At 36.3% G+C, this 21,996-nt stretch overlaps 1 protein-coding gene across 17 annotated transcripts in view; it reads left to right on the top strand.

The window, feature by feature from the left end:
• The window catches only part of DMD (dystrophin), a 2,220,167-nt gene that overhangs the window by 1,152,314 nt on the left and 1,045,857 nt on the right, over nucleotides 1-21,996 (top strand). Inside the window, exon 45 of one of the 17 annotated variants that reach the window (XM_017029329.2) lies at nucleotides 1,121-1,361. Coding sequence (XP_016884818.1) covers nucleotides 1,121-1,183 — 63 coding nt within the window. The 3' untranslated portion in view covers nucleotides 1,184-1,361. 17 annotated transcript variants of the gene reach the window in all.

The following is a 21,996-nucleotide window of genomic DNA, read 5'->3' as shown; positions in this document are numbered from 1 at the left end:
GCCCCTTATGCTTTGGTCAGTTGATGCTAAAATCTGAACTTCTTTATTTTAAAAAAAACTTTTAATTTTGAAAAAGGAAGTTCACGGTGCTGTCTAATTCTTTTTAGATAGTCATTAATGTAAATGTAAGAGTCATTCTGAGAACCACATCTGCTGATATGTTCCGTTAAATTACAAGTTCTATGTGTATTTGCTTTGCTTTCATACAATGAATCTTCTTTACTCTCTTCCCCACCTGCCAGAAATTGCCCCACTCAACGTTCATAAAAGGTCCATTTTCAATCGCTATATTTATTTCAGAAGCAGAGATATCATATATTCAAATTTTAGTTACTTTCCAATATCAAGCTAATAACTCACACAAATAAATCAAACTACAGCAAAACAGCAATCTAGCATTCAACAAAACCTCCCCAATGCACATATTTCAAGCTGTAGATATGTATCATCCACCATGCTGAAATAATGTACATGTTCAAATCAAATGGAAAACTAGAATCAAAATTGTTGATTACTTCTTATCAGGGCATTTTATTATATTTAAGAAAAATACAAATTAAATCATTTTCAGGAAGCAATCCTTCTGGCTAAGATTTTTTTAGCATAATGCTTAAAGTTAATTGTTGATCTTTATCTATAAATTCAAAGGTGGACTAAAAATGCAGAATCAATCAGGTAGTCCATTTTGCATCAGGTGAAATATATAAAGCATAAAACAGCGAGTTACATTTCCTAACAAAATTGAATTACAGTGAGTAAAAGTGACAGGACAAATGCATTAAGAAAAGATGGACTGAAATGGATAGAGTAGAATATATGCATCTATAAAACACAGTCATATATAATACACTCATTTTTTTTCTTACGAGTGTGAGATTAATGGAAGAAAACAACAATAATAACAAAACCAGTGTGATGTGTCAGATTTCACCTTTTAATTAAAAAATTATTCACTTCAGAGGGGAATTTTCTTTCTTGGGTTAGCTCAATCATGTCAGATCTTGTTCATTTAAAAGGTCAGTTTACTTGCCTTCTGAGGTTTTTGTTTGGGAAAAAGAAAAGAAAATAGATTTTCATTGGTATCCTGGGTAGAATTAATTGTTTATCATTCATTTTTAAGATCTCCGAGAGGCAGAAAAAGGGGAACTGTGCAACCCTTTTGTCCTTCTGGATCTCAAAATGAAGGGATACATTCTGCTACATGAAATGTGGAATTAAGACCATGATGCAACATGATAAACAACACAAATTTGGGGGTGTCTCTGTGCTATACATTATTGAATTTTTCCATGCTATACACTTTTTGGATGTGTCTGTGCTATTTATTCAGTTTTTTTAAATAAAAGTTTTTGTAGACTAAATTGCCCTCTCTACTTTGCATCGTTTTTGAACAAAGGATTTTCAAGACTGATAAGCTCAAATGTATCATTTATTGTATTCAAGTAGCATTCAATTTTTCTTTAGAAGTATAATTTGTAGATATTTTAACACAGAAAACTTGCAACACTGCTCATGATAGGCACTTATTATATATTTTTTGAAAGACTATATGGATAATGATTCTAACTTTGACTTTTCCTGTTTTGCCTTCACTTTAGAATTAAGCAGAGAATCAAATCCATATTCCTGGGGGCGATGCTTGGACAACAGTATCTCTTTAAAGATCTTTGTGTGAGTCGAAGGTGCAGCCAGACTGGGAGTTATTGTGAAGAAACAGATTCAGGAAGGTTGAGAAACTTGCCTAAGGCTAATCAGATAGTTACTGGCAATGTTGTTTCTAAATCACTGTTTGGCTCCCTCATTCAATGAATCTACACTATGTGGGACTGCCTCTTGCTCCTGACATCTTTTGCTGCTGAAATAAATGAACTCAAAGCCTAGAAGGTAGAAAAGAGGGAGTTCAGAATTATATTCAGGCACAAATACCAATAAGGCTATTGCCCCCAGAACTGCAACTTCTCTTGGTTTAACAGATAACTATTTAGCTGTGAGGTACAACTGAGGAAGTGGACACACAAGTTATCAGGAGATTCTGATGTGCCAGTTTATATTTCTTGTCACAGGTAATGATTCGAAATTTCTTAAAACAGCTGTCCTCACAGTGGAGTAACCTGGGAGTACATGAAGGCATTCCAAGGAGTAGGCACAGATAGTTTTAAGGGAATTTATTTCTAGATCTTCTACTTTATTTTGTACTCTTCCTGAAAACTGAATTGCCTGAAAAAAAAAAAAAAAAAAAAAAGACATCTGTAGTCAAGACCTCAGGCTGTTTCTCCTTTCTAACCACTTGCCTTTTCTAACCACTTCTCCCAATTTAAGAAAAAAAGCCTTATATTTCATCCAACTCTGATCTTACTAAGGCTTCAAACAAAAGAAGCATGAATGACTTTCATGACAGGGCAACATAGCTTTTTGCAAGAAGAGTGGTTGCTAACTCTTTGCTTTCAACTGAACCCGAAGAGAAGACCTGATAAGTTGTCAGCCGATAGATCATTAAAAATACGTTTTGGTAAGCAATCATCATGTACTTTTAGCATATGCCATAGCAGGAGCACAAATGATTAAGCAATGCTACTATAATACAATTCCTTCCGTTTCTTTCTACTCACCTATTTGAATAAGATTTTTCATCATTTACATCTATACAGACAAAAATTAGGGATAGAATTGATGCTGAAGCCTTTCCAATTGTAGAATTAATTTATATTCTTCTGAAGGTGTATAAATTGTTAAATACCCATCCATCTTATTAAGAGATGTATTTTCAATAAAATTTTATTTTTATGTTTATCAAATTTTATAATATACATATATTGTTTTGGTCAATTGCACGTTAATAATTGTAACAATACCTCAATTGAAAAGGTTTGTTTTTTACATTTAGGACTTACAGTAACAGAAAAAAAACACTCATTGTGTATACATACTGTTTAAGAAAAGTATACTAGGTGATCAATAAGATTTTTTCAGGCATAAACATATATCTTAGTTTTAAGATATCGATATTTACAATGTCCCTCAAATTATATTATTTTCAGTCATTTAAGAATGAAAAGTACATTTCGAATGCGGATTTTAAATCTGCAAGGGTTGACTCATTTTTCAAGAGTCTTTTTAGGGGATACAGAAGCAAGAATGTTTGGAGTTCCCTGATCAGTATCTTTAAGAGAAGGTATTTGTTGGTAGTTCCTAGCAAATTCCAACAGCCTGATGCTACTTAAAAGATAATAGTAATTATTTTAAATAATGCTTCTGATAAAAAACATTCATGCACACTCAGTTTAAAAAGATATTTAAACATTTGTAGTTGTAGTTTGGGAACTCATGATACAAGTACAGTCTGTAAATGAAGCTCTTAGTTTGCAAATATCAGAGATAAGCTATTAAAATGCAGAAATTGAAATTGCCCTGATATATGCATAAATTAGTGTCATCTCCATCTTGTCAGTTAGAGTATTTTTTAGATTCTCTCTATGTATACATACATATATATATATATATATTTATATATATATATATATTTGTGTAGCTGTGCATGTGTGTATTTGGACTAATGGGTCAAAGGACAGTACTAACCCAATTCAATAATTAAAGAAAACATAATTTTGAGAATTAGCTTTATGGTAATTGTTTGACTTAAATGAGTAGATCAGAGAAGAATAAGGGCTTTCCCTTATTTAAACAAGCTTCATTTTTTTATCCAAACATTTACTTAGCTGATTAAGCTTCACTTGTTTATTTTCTTCAAAGCATTCATTCAGGTGGGTACTGAGTAAACTGAAATATCACACCAGGGAACTTCAACACCATCCAAGTCTTAAAGGCTTCACTTGTTCACAGTTGGCATTTAGTGAATGTCTAGGCTACTGATAATATTGTGAGTAAGTTGGCAGGGATCATAAGAAATGATAAAATACAGTTCTTGAAAATGTTATGGTTTGAGGAAAAGATCTATGTTTGGAATTAGACTGACTTGGATTCAAACTCTGGCTGTACCTTTGGGACAAGGTGTTCAGAAACTCTAGCCTATGTTTTTTTTCTGCAAAATGATCCTCTTTTCCAGGATTCCTGTAGAGATTCAAAGATATGTGAATGTTTAGAAAAAGAATAGACTTTTGATCATTGTTAATTCCCTTACTTTCCCCAATTAGACTTGTAAGACTGGGAAGAAAGCTACACAAAAGATTGAACAAATTATAGCTGACAGACCATAGCAAAAGATACAGGGCAAAACTTAAAGGGGAAAACTACACATTAAATTATTTTAAACCATTAAATAGCACTAACTTTTGTCAGATATTACAACCAAACACCACTCAAATTAAAGTAAACTGAATAAAATGCCTGTTTTTTTCTGTTTACTGATGTTTTCATTTGCTTCATTCATTTATTGGAAGATATAAAATGTGTTAGACACTGTTAGGTGCTGAGTGTATAAAAAAATCTTATTAATACAATTTAAACACGCACACACATATATATGGTTATAACAATTGATGCCATGTATGTACTGTTTATATGCCTATACATTATTCCACAGACCTGGGGGGAGGGGGATGTAGAGTCTTACCAGAACCATAGGAATCTTCTCACATCAACATTTCCTTTTGAAGTTTGTTCATGAGGCACCATCCAGATAATACTACCATCTGCAATGTGGCTTGAGAAGATGTTAGATTTTTTTATTACACATAATAAGGCTGTAAAGTATTTCTGTATTTAGGTAGAGGTATGTAATACAATATGTATATAAAATTACATATCCAATAAAATCTGGTGTTAAATAAGGACTAGCTTCTATGATAATATAGTCTAAAGGCTTTTCATTTGGTGTTATAGAAATTATGTGAAATATGTTTCCTGGAGTAGAATTATTCGCATTTCAGCTCTCTGACAGTGGAAGAAAAGCTAGAGGGAGAGGTGAACAAGAGAGGGAGCATAATGGACAAAGCTTTGCTGGAAGCCAAACCACCACTTCATATGTCAAATCTGACAGGCCTCCCATTTTAGGTGTGCTGTCATTGAAGCTTTCAGCTGCACCTTGCCTGTGGCTAGGCTATTTTCAAAGATTAAAATGCGAAACTGGAAATTAAATGCAACTTAATTCCCAATTTAAATTTCCATTATTTTTGAAAAGTAAAAGATTAAAAGAAATGTATAATTGCAATTCTGGTGGAAGAGGTAATTATAGGAAAGGTGGGATGTATTTCAAGTGGGGGATATAGCTTACTGCAGCAGAGAGGAATCTAAGCTATCATTCTTTTGAAATTGGTCTGGAAATATGTTTTCACATGGAAAATATACTATATTTTTAGGAATTTCCTTGTCATATTACTGTATCCTTTTCTGTTAGAATATAAATTCTGAATTCCCTATTCCACTGTAGATCTGCCTCCGATTATATTAGCTCTTCTGAAGTTATCAAAAAATAATGAGATATACAATATTCCATATATGTCAAAGCAATTATTTTTAGGTTAAGTAATAAACCAATGACCTTTAACCCGGTAATATTCTGGGTTGTTCATAAAAAAACTATATTCAGGTAATAATGTCTTTCCACTTAAGCAACTGAAAAAATACACAATACTTAACATTTGGTTAATTAAATACCTACTCCAGACAAAAGGATTTTCTGTTTTCAAGTTATCTTAGCAAGCTGAGCAGGAAGCAATGATATATCCAATCAGAATATCCATGGAAGCTCTGCTACAGTTTCAAAAAGTTCTCATCAGGCAGCTTTTAAAATGCCTACTCTGAAAATGGTCCAGGTTAAAGAACAACAGCTTCCTCGTCAGATAGCAGTATTGCTTGGCCATGTTTCTTCCTAGCACAAAAAAGTACCTGCTCTTCTCTGAGTACCTACATTCTAAGGACTATGGCTTACATAAAACAGCATGGGTTGGGGCAATTTCCAGCACACTGCTCACTCTCGAAAACGTATGATGCAGGTGAGAGTAATGTTTTTGTTTGAATCTGCTTTCACTCGTGGAAGATGAAACTACTTGCAAAGATCTGTACTTTAGCTATTATGAGTAACAAAAGACTCCTAAAATATTGCACACATTGTGGGGATGGAGAACCATCATCCTGGGATTTGATGGATCCTATGGTTTGGCTTTGTGTCCCCACCCAAATCTCATTTTGAATTGTAATCCCCACAATCCCCACATGTCAAGGGAGAGAGACCAGGTGGAGGTAACTGAATCATGGGAGCAATTTCTCCCATGCTGTTCTCCTGATAGTGAGTGAGTTCTCACAAGATCTGATTGTTTTATAAGGGGCTCTTCCTGCTTCACTGGGCACTTCTTCCTGCCACCTGTGAAGAAGGTGGCTTGCTCCTTCTCACCTTATGCCACGATGGTAAGTTTCCTGAGGCCTCCCCAGCCATGCTGAACTGTGTGTCAATTAAACCTCTTTCTTTTATAAATTACCCAGTCTCAGGCAGTTCTTTATAGCAGTATGAAAATGGACTAATAGAGACGTGTCTCTCAGAAGTCACAGTGATGCTTGAACGGATCCAGAGCTCCTTCTTCAGGAAGGTCCCAACTCATTCTGAAGGGTCTCTCCAAGCCCACCTCTCTCTGTAAATGGGAAAGGTTTTACTTTGAGCACTAAAACCTGCCAGAATTCTCAATTTTCCTAACAGTGTGTTAATAAACACCTACTCATTTAGTATCCAAACCAGGTCTGTATTTCTCAATTAGAGCTCACCAGGCTTTCATCATAAAGTAGAGCTTCAAATTGTCTGCAATCCCACTCCTATCAAAAACCTAGAAGGAGGTAATATTTCAGAGTAATACTATAACCAGATGACCACATCTAAGAAACTGCTGACCCTACGATGTAACCTTCTGTCCATTTTTCCCTTTGGAAAGTCTAGGATCTTTTCTTATACCAGCAAGTTACAAGCCTGGACTACACTAACTTGCTTTCCGCAGAAGAAAACACCATGAGTTCTGTTTTCATATTAAGCACTTAGTCTCCATCAGACATCAATCGAGAAAAAATCATTAAAAATCACATTTTATATTTGATGTATATTTCTCAATAATCCTATGTATTAGTTCATTTTCCTACTGCTATGAAGAAATACCCAAGACTGGGTAATTTATAAGTAAAAAGAGGCTTAATGGACTCACAGTCTCACATGACTAGGGAGGCCTCACAATCATGGTGGAAGGTGAAGGGGTAGCAAAGGCATGGCTTACATGGTGGCAGGCAAGAGCGTGTGCAGGAAAATTGCCCTTTATAAAACCATCAGATCTCCTGAGACTTATTCACTGCCATAAGGACAGCACAAGTATTTAGCTCCCTCAGCACAGAACCATCCCCGTGATTCAATTACCTCCCACCAGGTCACTCCCATGACACATGGGGATTATGGGAGCTACAATTCAAGATGAGATTTGGATGGGGACACAGCCAAACCATATCATCCTATTTGGATGATCAATATTATCAAGGTATGCTCCCCTGAGGGGGCGTCCTTTTTACCATTTAACTCCAGGACAAAAGTTTATTTCTTTGTAAGGACAGTGTTTATTTCTTATGGTCCTATTTTCTCCTAAGATCCAGACACCAAAATGGCCATCTATCATTGACTTAACTCCTGAATTTTGCTTAGAGTAACAGATTTAGTGAATCTAAATATTTTCTGGCTGTGGAATGTTAATTTATACATGTTCAAGTTACCTTTGATTCATGTGACAGTTTGTGCCAAAACACACTCATTATCAGAACTCAGATCATTATGTTGGCTCTTGTTTTCGTTACTAAAGGAAGAAAAACAGTTTCTCAAAAAGAAAATTCTGATACCTAGGAAGACCATTATACCTCACTCTTTTCTTTATCTCATCACCACATCCAATATTATAAAAGAACTTACAAAGTAAAAAGAAAGGTGTTCTGTAGATGTAGCGCCTGGCTTGTATGGTAGCTTAAATGAACACAGCTAAAAATATTTTATGGCTAGTGTCCAAAACAGTCTGGCACCAGACAAAATAAGAATATTTAAAATTATATTTTAGAGTTACTTTAAGAGGAAGGGAGAGAGAGATGTAGGCAGGAGGAGGAGGAGCAGGAGGAGAGGGAGAGAGAGAGAGAGAGAGAGAGAGAGAGAGAGAGAGAGAGAATCTGGGGTTTCTATGGAAGGGCTAAGAATATGTAGAAAACAGTTTACAAAGAAATATGGTCCAAGAATCGTGTGTACACACACACACACACACACACACACACACACACCCCCTGGAATATTTTTCAGCCTTAAAAAGAAGAAGATCTGTCATTTGTCCCAACATGGATGGACCTGGAGGACCTTATGCTAAATGAAATAAGCCAGACCAAGAAAGAAAAATATTGTATGATCTCACTTATATATGGAATCTTTTTTTAAAAAAGGTCAAATATATACAGATAGTGAATTAAACAGTGGTTACCAGGGTCAGGGTAGTTGTGAGGAAATGGGGCAATGTAGGTCATAGGATACAAATGATTAAAATATATTAATATATTAAAAGATATAATATACATCATGAGGACTACAGTTAATAATAGTGTGTATTCAAGATTTTTGATAAATGAATAGATTATAGCTGTTCTTGCCACAGAGTGAAAAATGGGTAACTGTGAAATGATAGATATGATAATGTTCTCCACAATGGTAACTATTTTACACTATATATATAAATATCTATGCATCTTACACCATTATGTGGTATCCCTTAAATATATACAATAAAATTTATTTTACAAACACATATTAGGAATGCATATTCTGATTTTTAACAATAGTTAACCTCATTAATATATTTCACACTATCATTTCTAGTGTACATGAAAAGTAGTTTATTGACATTAGTTGTAAAAAAAAAAAAAATGGTCTTGAGACTTTTGGGTCAGAGAATGTTCTGGCCATAAGGTAGGTTTCTGCTTGCCTACTAGATATCTTAACTTCGATTTCCTGAACATCCCATCACTTCAGAATCTCTCAATCCTTTCTAACATCCGCAACATTGTTTTTCTTTCTGCATTTCTTATATTGACTGATGGATTTATAATTCACTTTCTCTGAAAAACCCTGCAGTTATCATATATCCCTATCCATTCTGGCTCTTTATTGCCCAAATCTCTACCAAAATCCTGTCAGCACAGCCTCTGAAATATTTCTCAAAGCATTTATAATCTGGCTCTCATCAACATTTTCAACACTCTGTTTTATCATTCCACTATTTTACATCATTTCATTTTCATTTTTACCACAATCACTCATCCAACAAATAAGTATTTAGCTCCCTCAGTAATTAGTATTATTATTATTAATTATAACTAGATGCTGAGCATACAGAAGTGAACATGACAGACATAATCCCAGCAGGGATGTCAGACTTTATGCAAGTAATCAACCATGATGAATCTCATGAGATTCTGAGAGAGAGAGAGAGAGATTGAGAGAGAGAGAGAAAGGGGAACCACTGGTGTCCGAGTTAGAAATTTGAATTAGTATCTGGGTCACCAAAAGCTTCTGTGAAGAAGTGATATAGACTTGGCCACACAAAACTACCGTGAAGGTGGTGGAAATTTTTCTATGCAGAGTACCACATTTAAAGAGCTAAGCCTGAGAGTGTCAGAGATAAAGGAACAGAAAGAATGTGACAGCAGATTATGTTTGGAAGAAAGATGTTCAAGAGACCAAGCTAAAGAGGAGATGGGGCTAGAACCTGGAGGGTCCTTCGGGTCCTGTTGGGAGTTTTTTCTCTGCCCAGAAGGGCTTTGTCACGTGGTTGTCAGGAAAGAGTCATGATTAGAGCTTTGATTCAGAGACTTCTTTCGCTGAAGTGTGGAGAATGGTTCAGAGAGAAGCAAATCTGAATGGACAAAAGAGGTTATTATTGTAATCTTGGCAAGAAGCGATGGTGGTCTTGACTAAAATAGTTCTAGTGAGAATGTGACAACAAACCTGAGAAAAATACAGGAGACGTAATTGACGGGGGTTAGTGTTAAGTTGAACGATTGCAGAGTTGAATTTGAGGAAAGTGTCATATATCATTCCCAGTTTCTGATGTCATACACCTCTGGAGATAACACTGCCATTTCTTTTGAAATGGGAAAATAATAAGTGATCAGTAAGTACGTATTGGATAAAATAATGAATGGTTAAATGCATAAGGGGAGAGGAAAAGAGTTGCAGAGAAAGAGAGTAAACGTATTTTGGATGTGTTAATTTTGAGATACCTTTGAAAAATCCAAGTGAGGGGTTGGGTAGTCAGAGAAATGAATGTGGATGTCAGGACGAAAGGTGACCGTGATGAACTGTATGTCTTCCTCTAAGCACGTTATACAGCTTCATGTCACAAGTGACTCACTTCATGTCACAAGTGACTCACAAGGTCACTTGTGACAAGCATTTGCCTGGTGCTTCATCCCTAACCTCCCTTTCTATACTCAGCTAAAATGTCACCTACAATACTTCTTCCTTGACTCCACCGTCCCCACTTTACTGATATGAATACATTTTAATAAAATGATATAATAATGCTTAGTTTGTAAACCTAATGTTCCTCAAGTGGTATAATTATCTGATTTGTATGTGATCATCAACCCAACCATATTAGGAGCACCTTGAAGGTAGAAGATTTAGGTTCATGCTTAACACCACATCTGGACCACTGTGGATTTAACTTTCTACAATGATTGTATTCATTAATATATTGGGTGCCCACTATATTCCAAGTAATATCCTGCACACTACGTACAAGGAAGCATAGGTCCCGTGTGCTCATGAAACTGTAATTTTAGTAAGCAGGGATAGGATACAAACTGAGAAAGGAAAACAATTTAGAAAGTGGGAAATATTATGCACAGAATTAATAAAAAAGAGAAAAATCTTGAAAAAGTCTTCAATACCTCACTTGGAAGGTGATTTTGAAGAAGAACTGATGGACAAACTAGAGTCAGCCATGTAATGATGTAGGGGCAAAGCATTCCGGGCACAAGGGACAGCTTATGCAAAGACCTTAAAAATGAACTAGCTTTGTATGTTGGAGAAGGATAAAGAGAACTAAGGTATCTATAAGGTAATTAGGAAGAGGATGAGTTATTTAGTCCCTTAGTCTTTGAAGCACATTATCTCATACTTCAATTGAGTTTATTCTTAGTGTCATTCTTCTGGATGCAATATTTGAGATAAATGTCTTAATGAACGTTCACCTCCCTCCGTAGTAATGCCTGAGTGTCACAAAAACTTTTTTTGTTTACATACGTAGCCATCTAATGGAAACATAAAATAGGAATCAAAAGTTGAGTTTCATGTACAAAAGGTAAGGACTGTACATGTGGTCATAACAACTTCAAAAGCACCTGAAGGTAACCTTTAAGGAAGATACAAAGGCTAGGAAATATCTAGGATCCATGAAGACAGACTTACTTAAGGTCATAGTGTGTCCAGAGTTGGTTCCCGCCGGTGGGTTCGTGGTCTCGCTGACTTCAAGAACGAAGCCACGGACCTCTGCGGTGACTGTTACAGCTCTTAAAGGTGGCACGAACCCAAACAGCGAGCAGCAGCAAGATTTATTGTGAAGAGCAAAAGAACAAAGCTTCCACAACGTGGAAGGGGACCCAAGCAGGTTGCCGCTGCTGGCTTGGGTGGCCAGCTTTTATTCCCTTACTGTCCCCTCCCATGTTCCATTTCTGTCCTATCAGAGTGCCCTTTTTTCAATCCTCCCCACGATTGGCTACTTTTAGAATCCTACTGATTGGTGCATTTTACAGAGCGCTGATTGGTGCGTTTTACAATCCTCTTGTAAGACGGGAAGGTTCCTGATTGGTGCGTTTTACAATCCTCTTGTAAGACAGAAAAGTTCCCCAAGTCCCCACTCGACCCAGAAAGTCCAGCTGGCCTCACCTCTCAATAGCATTAAGAATATAGTTTCACGAGCATATATGAATCAAAACTTACATTTGCCAATTTTATTTGCTTGTTTATGTGTTTCCAACATGTCTTGTCTTAGGGCCAAATGTTTCCCTAGAGAATAACTATTCCAACTATCTTAGTTGCTGTATTTTTATGCAACCTTCAACTCTCCATACTAAAATGTCTCCAGAATAGAAAATAAATCTTTTCAAAGTTTCAAAAGAGGCTCTCTATATATTCCCCTTAAAAGTACCAGGCAGACATATTTCTAGGTTTCTAACATTGCGTGTTGCCAGGAAGTATATCCAAACCATCACAAGTTATTCATGTAACCAAGCACACTTATTGGAGTGCTTCTGCTTCTGTTCTTGCTTGAAATTGGAAGCTCCTTCCAGGAAAAAAAAAAAATATCTATAGAAGGGGAAAAAAGTAATTTTACTTTGAAAATAAAATATACGTGAGCAATAGTTTTATTCTGTTTTTAATTTACCATAGCTTCCAAAGACAACATTGTTTTATAGTAGGGGTTAGCAAGTGTTTTCTGTAATGTAAACGTAAAGGGCCAGAGAGTAAATATTTTAGGCTTTGTTTTCTATACTCTGTTGCAACTATTCAACTCTGCTGTTAGAATGTTGAAGCAGTCATAGACAATAGAGAAATGAAGATGTGTCATTGTGATCCAATAAAACTTTATTTACAAAAATGGCAATGGGCTAGTTACGGCTTGAGGGCTGCAGTTTGCAGACTCTCACTTCAGAGCTAACAGTTGTTGTCAGGAGTCACTTGTTTTTGGAAACCTACAATGAGGTACTATAACACCAAAAAGAGTTATCCCTTCCTTTTTCTCTCTCACTTTTTGAATTATGAGAAGAATTAGAAATGTAGTTAATGATAATGTCCAACCAGTGTAATTATACTTGTTAGAAACACAGCTGGAAGCCTGTTGTCCAGTCTTATTTCTCCTCTGTGATCCTCATTTTCAGAGGTTGAAGTCATAAGTTTGCCATGTCTACTTTCTGACAGGGGAATTATAATAATGTGGAGTCACCTTTTGTTTGTGACTTTGACAATGCTTCATTGACTTACTCACCAATTTTCTAATTTTTATGAAGACTTTTTGCCGAAATGTAGACTCAGTCTTCTCTCTTGTCTACTCTTTCTATAACAATTAACAATGAACTTATTTACCTTTTTAACATCTTTTTAAAAATTTTCTATACACCTTGAAAATGTGAATACAAAGTAATGCTGCATCATGTATATTGCCTTATTCACACATAGCCTCTTATGGTATATCATATAAAAATGGAACAATACAGCAACAGGTTGAATGAACAGTAATCAGGTAACAGGAAAATGAGATGTCTTTAATATTTCACTTAAAAACTCAATTTCCTAAAGCATACATATAAATATTTGGAAGTATAGTTAGAAGAAAAATATCTTTAAAATATTTTAATTGATTAGTCTTATTTATAAGATAATTTTTAGGAGGCTGGTTGCGGTGGCTCACACCTGTAATCCCAGCACTTTGGGAGGCCGAGGTGGGCAGATCATGAGGTCAGGAAATCGAGACCATCCTGGCTAACACGGTGAAACTCCGTCTCTACTAAAAATACAAAAATTAGCCGTGCATGGCAGCGCATGCCTGTAATCCCAGCTACTCGGGAGGCTGAGGCAGGAGAATCACTTGAACCTGGGAGGCGGAGGTTGCAGTGAGCCGAGATCGCGCCACTGCACTCCAGCCTGGTGACAGAGCTAGACTCCGTCTCAATAATAATCATAATCATAATAATAATTTTTAGGAAGCATCAGAAATATATAAGAAAAAGATTATTTTCTTAATTGCTTTACTAAAAACACCTCTATGATTTTTCAGTAAAACTTGATTCTTATGTCATGTGTGAGTGTGATCTGCCTCTCTTGGGATACTACTGTACTCATGAGGAGTGATTTTTTTCTCCAACGACCTCTTTGTCACGTCAACAGGTCACAGGAATAGTGTACCCTAAAAAGCCACCTGCCACATGCTGCTGAAAATGTAAAAGTACACACATACACACACACACACACACACACACACACACACACACACACCAAAATCAGGTATCACAAGCTGAAAATAAAATTGAGTCCAATTTTTTTTTAATTGAGCAGTTAATGTCCTTAAAACAAAATCCTATACTGCAACAAATACTTAGCCAGATCATTCTGATACCTCCAAACTGTGGTGTATTCCAAGATACCTCTATGATCTTTGATTTGATCCACAGCTTTTCAGTTATCATGCAAATACCTTCAAGTTTTATCTCATTTCTCAGTGCAAACTCATTAAAAATTTTCAGCTGAATTCAATTTTATAAACATGTTGTGAATGTCCTCTTTATATAAGCAAGGTTGTAAGGAACTGGCCACATAAACAGAAAATTGAATAACATATGGTTTCTGGCCTTAGTGATCTCATGTGTGAGTTAGGCATATGGGCAAAATCAGAACACTATAGAGTATAAGTCTAAAATGGTAGTATTTTATAATAGAGGATGAAGAGGGTGCTGTGGGATCATAGGTGACAGATATAACTCCCGTTGTGGGACTTGAGAAAGGCTTCACAGTCTGGAAACATTTAGTTGCTATTGAACACAAAATAAGACTCACTGTTGAGAGAAGGGAGAGGGAGGGCATTTCAATCAAATTAAGATTCTGTGGCATATTCGGAAACTGATGTTTTTAAAAAGAGTAATGTTTATTACATTCCTCTACATAAATTATATTTCTATGTAATATGAATGACAAATATTTAACACAAAATGCCTTATAACATTTGAATGAAATCCATCATATGACCTGTTATCTATTTCCATTTCCTTTTTGCTCATATCATTATGAACAATGACCTGATAAATTTTTTATAAGACTTTGCTGAATTAGTAAAGGATTATTAAGTTTAGAATGAACAAAGCTGACCAATCATTCAGGCAAATTTGACCGTTTTGTTGTCGCTTTTCTTATTTCTGAAACCATACAATTCCCTGAAATGAATAAGTACATATTTGATAACTTCCTAAATTAAGGCTCAAAACACTGGTAATCTACTGGGCTTTCATTTGTTCCTTCTATTTGTCTAATCCTATCTATATTTCTTTATATGAGCTATGAAAATATTAGATTTATTAAGTTGTCCTTTATCTTAATAGAGAAGAATGTTTTTCTATGACATTAAGAGGAATTTGATTTTTTTCTTTAATGATCTACTTTTAATTTTGGTAGAGTAGCATTGATAAGATCAATATTACACATTGTTAAGTATGCATTACATGTTGATAAGATAAATATTACACTTAAAATATGTTTATCAAATGTATGAATGATAAAAACGAATTCTGAAATGTATGGGAAAGATCTTGAATAAAGGTCTATGTACATTTCAAGGATGTCTACATATGCAAATTATCATAATATAATAACTATTGAATATGATTATCTTCACATACTTTCTTTATTTTTCATCTCTTAGATGAAATTGGGTATTGTTTTCTTATAGCTGGAACAAAGCATTACAGAGAATTCTTAGTGTGATTTCATTGAAACTCACTGTTATATGAGTTCAACAAAGTTTAAATTAGTCCATGACTTAATCATCCTTTATAAATCCTATCACTAGTATTCGGTAAGGACAAAGTCAATTAAAAAATTAGCAACAGAAGCATTAAAAGAAGGATTAATAAATACAAAATAAGGGATGTGATATCTTTACGTATTGCTGAGATGTTAGTGCTAAGGAAAAACTTCCCTGTTCATAATGTGAGGTGGGAAAAAGAAGAACTATTATTGTATATTTCTCCTCTCTAAAACTGCCTATCTGACTGTGTTTTTCTGTGTCAGCCGTATTAACAGATGTTTAATTTTACTCACTTTAGTATATAAGGCATCATAATGTATGAACTATTTCAAAGGCCCTATGATGGCTAATTAAATAAAAATATATTAAATATTAGCTGGACAAAATAAAATATGTATTAATTTTGGAAAAAGTAGATCAAGGTTTTGCAGATCTTTTCATATCAATATATTCATTTGCTGAATAAGCTTTTATTGTTTACCAATATTACTAGTTTTATAGAGATGTAGATATCACCACAGTATGACTAATTTTATAGGGACACAGATAGATAGATGTTATTTTATTCCAATCTTATTTTTACATATAACAGGTATAAATATGCGCTTGAAAGGAGTATATCACTTAGGAGTCAGTCAGAAAAGTAAAGATCTTCTAGTCTAATACAGTGGTTCTCAGCCAGGGGTGATTCTGCTGCACGCTGAGGGATAAATTGGCAATTTCTGGAGACATTTTTGGTTGTGACAATTGCAGGAGTGTTACTGGTATTCATTTGGTAGAGACAGAGATATTGGTAGACACTGTACAGGACACAGGAAAGTCTCTTACAACAAAGAATTATTCTGTCCAAAATGTCAGTTGTGGTGAGGTTGGGAAACACTGGTCTGGAAGAAGGAATTTACTATGAGGAACTAGTTACGAAAGTATAGAGACATTTAACAAGCTGAACAAAGGATAGTGAGATGGCTCAGAGATTAGCAACTGTGGCATGAAGCCACTACTACGTTTAGGTAAAAATAAGCTACCATTTATTCTTATAGTAATAATAATAATAATTATTATTATTATTATTTGAGATGGAGTTTCGCTCTGTTGCCCGGGTTGGAGTACAATGGTACAATCTCGACTCACTTCAACCTCTGCCTCCCAGATTCAAGCGATTCTCCTGCCTCAGCCTCCTGAATAGCTGGGATTACAGGTGTGCACCACCCCTCCCAGTTAATTTTTTGTATTTTTGGTAGAAACGGGGTTTCACCATGTTGGTCAGGCTGGTCTCGAACTCCTGACCTCAGATGATCCATCCACCTCAGCCTCCCAAAGTGCTGGGATTACAGGCATGAGCCACCACACCTGGCCCACTCTTTCTTTTTTAATTATTGAGAAATATAAAAATATGTCAAAAGTAACAGGTGTGGTGGAGTTACAGCATGCACATAATGGGATACAGCCCATTATCTAATCTCAGATGGAAACTAGAAAAAAAAGAGAAGATCTTTGCTAAAGCACAGATTATGTGGAAAATCATTTAGAAAAATAGCTTATCACAACATTAAAATTAAATCCTTTAGCTGATCATTTTTCCTTGCTATTTTTTCTTTTAAAATTGAGAAGACAGTGAGTTTTTTTTCTTTATTGTCATTATCTTGATGTCAAAAAATAATATGCACATTATAAGTGGGAAAAAAGATAAGTCGAAATGAAATGAAACAATGCGAGGAAAAAAATGTCACAACACTCTTCAATTAGAAAAAATGACCCCCATCTTTCCTCCAAATAGAAATGACGTAACTGAAGTAGTGGAACTTTCTCTTCCATGGCAACTCTAGAGAAGGGGTAGATGGCATGGGATTGTGGACAGATGGACACAGAAAGAGGCCTCATTTATTGTTATTGTTAAAACTTTTACTTCTAGTAATAGTGACACCTCCTTCAGCATTTCTTTATCAATTGTCAATATTTTTTGGATCACCAGCATCACCTTCTATATGTATGTCTAGAAACCTCCTGTTATGAATTTACACTTCTCAGAGTCAAGACAGAAATGCTGTGAATTGGGCGATAAATAAAATACCCCCCTTTTATTGCCTTGCTTTGTCTCTTAAAGAAAGATGCCTGTTGGGGGACTATGAGAATGCTTTGTGCTTCTGGACCTCAAGGGACAAATCTATAATAAAAATTATGCATAGTGATGAGAAATATATATAATGCAAGTTTGTAGAGATCAGTTAACTTATCTTGTCTAGGCAATTATTTCTAAACAATGATTTCAAATCATTAACTATAATATAGCCCATTCATACCCTCCATTTTTGTCAAATCCCTGTCACCTTCAAGGACTTGGCCATCCCATAGGCTGCTCTGCTTTTAATAGAGGAAGATGCTGTAACTCTTGGTACCATTGCCAGTTATGAATTTATCCATTAATGAACATTGCATTTAAGGCATAGGTTTATCTCCTTCTCCAGGTATGAACCTGCAGGATTCCTACCTGAAGCTTAAGGGAGAATAAATCCACCTGGGACAATCAAGGACAGATCAACCAATCAGCTCAAAGCAGGTGTGAATTACACAGTTTATTTGAGTGACAAGGTAGCTAAAGCAGGGATAATAAAAGAAGGGAGTGGGTTGATGTGGACAGACGAACTATGGCTTTAGGAAATTTGGTAGGGACTGAAACATATTTTGTGTAATTTATGTGGGTCTAATAGCTTTTGAAACTTGTTTACAAGACCTGTGTAAGTGGTACTGGCATATTCATGCATGAGAAAACATCAAGGGAAAACTTAATAGTTCAAGGAGGTGACAAAGAAGAGAGGAACCAATTATTTTCACTAGCCGTCAAAAGCAAGAAAATAATCAGCTTGAGCCCTTCGGGGAAAAGATAGGTTAAATATTAAGTAACAGTTTGTTATTATTCCAAGTGTTTTCTTAAAGTTGCTCCCATACTTTCCTGTTTTCTCTGAGGGAATTTAGTTTTTTTGTTGGTTTTTTTTTTTTTTTTTTTATAACTGTCATTGGTCAGAGCTTGATTTGATGCCAGTCAAATTTTTTTAAAGAGATTATGAAAACTGCTTAAACTCTTCCAAAGGGAAGATGGGTCATTCTTAACATGTGTTTCAAGAGGAAGAGCATAAGAGCATTATATGGTAAGGCTGAAAGCAGATATCAGCGTTTAGGGGCCATGAAGAGGTAGAGCTCACATTGGTAGGATCATTGACTAGAATTCCAGAGATCAAAATTGTATGTTAGTCTAGCATTGGGGAGGACTTGTAGCTAGTATCTTCATTCTAGCTTGGGAGCCTAGGAATCAGGTTAGGCATCTTGCACAGGAATGGGCCGATGGGCTAAAATCTCCTTGAGAGAGATGATTAATCCAGGACAAACCAAGCAGTCATGCCAATGAATTACTTTAACAGGGTACTTCATATCCTCATCCTTTGGGCAGCACGGTCTTCAGAGATGGGGCAGGCCCCAGGCTGCAGTTGAGATTCTATAAACTAAGGTCAAAAAGATGCAGCAGTGAAGAAGTCATGCTTATCTTGTATAAATCATGTTTTCTTTTCTTTTTAATGAAAATGTACATTTAACACATTTTAAAACTAAATATTGACCCTAAAATTCCAACCAAAAAATGCTACATAAGTGGTATTTATTTTTGAATTTCCCTCATGCTCCTCCCACTGTGGGGACAAGGAGTGGTGGTGGAAGAGAGATCTTTTAGCAAACCTGTGAGTAGAGAATTAGAAGGTAATGGGAGGAAGGTAAAAGGAAAACATCATAGATGGATAGGCTCACAAACATTAAAGGCCTTCGTGCCTGTCCTTCATGCCTATTCATCCCTCTCCAGTATGTGAATCAATGTACTTGTTAAATATTCATTCACCTCACATATTTAGCATTAACCGTGTATCAGGGACGTTGTTAGACCGTTGGTTTACGATGATGTGTAAAATATCATTTGTAACTCAGACTAACTGGAAGTGCTCAATATAATAAGATGTAATGTTATGGAACACTAAGTCTGTGCTGAAGACTTATCTCCTTTAATCCTAAAACAATCCTGGTGGGTAGTCTCAATGATCATCTCCAAGTCACAGTTGAGGAAATTAAGGCTTCAAGAAGTTAAGAAACTGGACCAACATCACAAAGGTAGCATCAGAGTGACAGTTTGATTTCAAAGTGTACTTGACTTCAAGGCCCACATTTCCTTGCACGTTTAATATTGCCTTTCTCAGGTAAATATACCATTAAATGTGATACAACTCTAAGCATTTGAATTACTTACAACGTGCAGAGTTAAAACCAGCATTATTTACACTATACTTCAGCTCGTTTATAAGTGAACTATTATTTTGTGGACTAACCTATGAAATGTAACCACATTGAATTCCTCTGTTAGGTACAGGTTTGGTGATTCCAGGGAATAGAGTATGACTGAATGCACAGGTAGGGGTGAAGTGAACCCGGTCAGAAAATTTAGAGAGCATCGAGCAGATCATTAAGCAGCTGTCTTTCAAATGTGCAGAACACAACTCATTTGTAATCTAGGGACTATCTGTATTGATTCTTCCCAGGGAAGTTACTTATTTTTATACATATGTGGTGTGTTCTGTCCATAATACCATTCTACATGGTAATGCTCAACTTTATTATTTAAAAAAACTGCTAATAATGAGGTTTTTCTTTGTATCACAGAAGCAGCAGGAGCAAGTTTTCTTTTTCCTTCCCAGTTTTTTTAAGTACTGCCAAGGAATGTGATTTTGTCAGACTTGTATTTCCTATTAAGCCAATCTGCATGACTGTTCCTTCTACTAGCTTTACCTGTTCACTCATTTATTAATTCATCAAATATTTGTAGAGTGACTATTGTGTGCCACATACTAATATAGGCACAAGGATAACCAAAAACAGACAAACGCTGTCCTTTCAAGGAGCTCATATAGTAATGGGAAGTTAGGAAAGGAGAAAATAAATATGTGGTATTTCAAATGGAAGTATTAAAGTGTTAAGAAGAAAAGAGAAACTAACAAGATAGGGAAAAAGTGACAGGAACATGATGTTTTATTTTTTATTTATATATATTTTTTGAGACAGGGTCTCATTCTGTTGCCTAAGCTGGTGTGCAGTGACGTGATCATGGCTCACTGCAGCCTTGACCTCCCTGGGCTCAGATGATCCTCCCACATCAGCCTCCCAAGTAGCCAGGTCTACAGGCATGTACCACGATACCCAGCTAACACGTTTTCTTTTCTTATAGAGACAGAGTCTCACTGTGTTGCCCAGGCTGTTCTTGAACTCCGGGGCTCAAGCAGTCCACCCACATCTACCTCCTAAGGTGCTGGAATTACAGGCATGAACCACCATGCCCAGCCGAAATTGATGTTTTATATATGGCAGTCTGGGCAGACCTCTTTGATGTGATATTTGAACAGAAATCTCAAGAGAGGGAGTGTATTAGCCCGTTTTCATACCGCTAGAAAGAACTGCCCGAGATTGGGTAATTTATAAAGGAAAGAGGTTTAATTGACTCACAGTTCAATATGGCTGGGGAGGCCTCAGGAAACTTAAAATCATGGCAGAAAATGAAGGGGAAGCGAGGCACCTTCTTCACAAGGTGGCAGGAAGGAGAAGTACTGAGGAAAGGGGGAAGAGACCCTTATAAAACCATCAGATTTTGGGAGAATTCACTCACTATCATGAGAACAGCATGGGGGAAGCCAACCCCATGATTCAATTACCTCCACATAGCCTCTCCTTTGACACCTGGGGATTATGGGGATTATAAGGATTACAATTCAAGATGAGATTTGGGTGGGGACACAAAGCCCAAACATATCATTTTGCTCCTGGCCCCTCCCAAATCTCATGTCCCTTTCACATTTCAAAACCAATCATGCCTTGACAACAGTACTCCAAAGTATTAATTCATTTCAGCATTAACCCAAAAGTCCAAGTCCAAAGTCTCATCTGAGACAAGGCAAGTCTGTTCTGCCTGTGAGCCTGTAAAATCAAAAGCAAGTTAGTTACTTCCTAGATAAAATGGAAGCACAGGCACTGGGTAAATATACCCATTACAAATGGGAGAAATTAGCCAAAATGAAGGGGCTACAGGCCCCAAGCCAGTCCAAAATCTATCAGGGCAGTCAAATCTTACAGCTCTGAAGTTGTCTCCTTTGACTCCATTTCTCACATCCAGGTAACACTGATGCAAGAGGTGGGTTCCCATGGTCTTGGTAAGCTCCACCCCTGTGGGTTTGCAGGGTAGAGCCCCTCTCCTGGCTGCTTTTACAGGCTGGCATTGAGTGTCTGCAGCTTTTCCAGGCACGTGGTGCAAGCTGTTGATCGCTCTACCATTGTGGGGTCTGGTGGACAGTGGCCCTCTTCTCATAGCTCCGCTAGGCAGTGCCCCAGTGGGGACTCTGTGTTGGGGCTCCAACCCCACATTTCCCTTCCACACTGTCCTAGC

The sequence above is a fragment of the Homo sapiens genome, chromosome X, assembly GCF_000001405.40.
Source record: "Homo sapiens chromosome X, GRCh38.p14 Primary Assembly".
NCBI classification, from domain to species: domain Eukaryota; kingdom Metazoa; phylum Chordata; class Mammalia; order Primates; family Hominidae; genus Homo; species Homo sapiens.
Note: the sequence above shows the minus strand (reverse complement) of the source record. Positions and strands in the feature narration are given on the sequence as shown.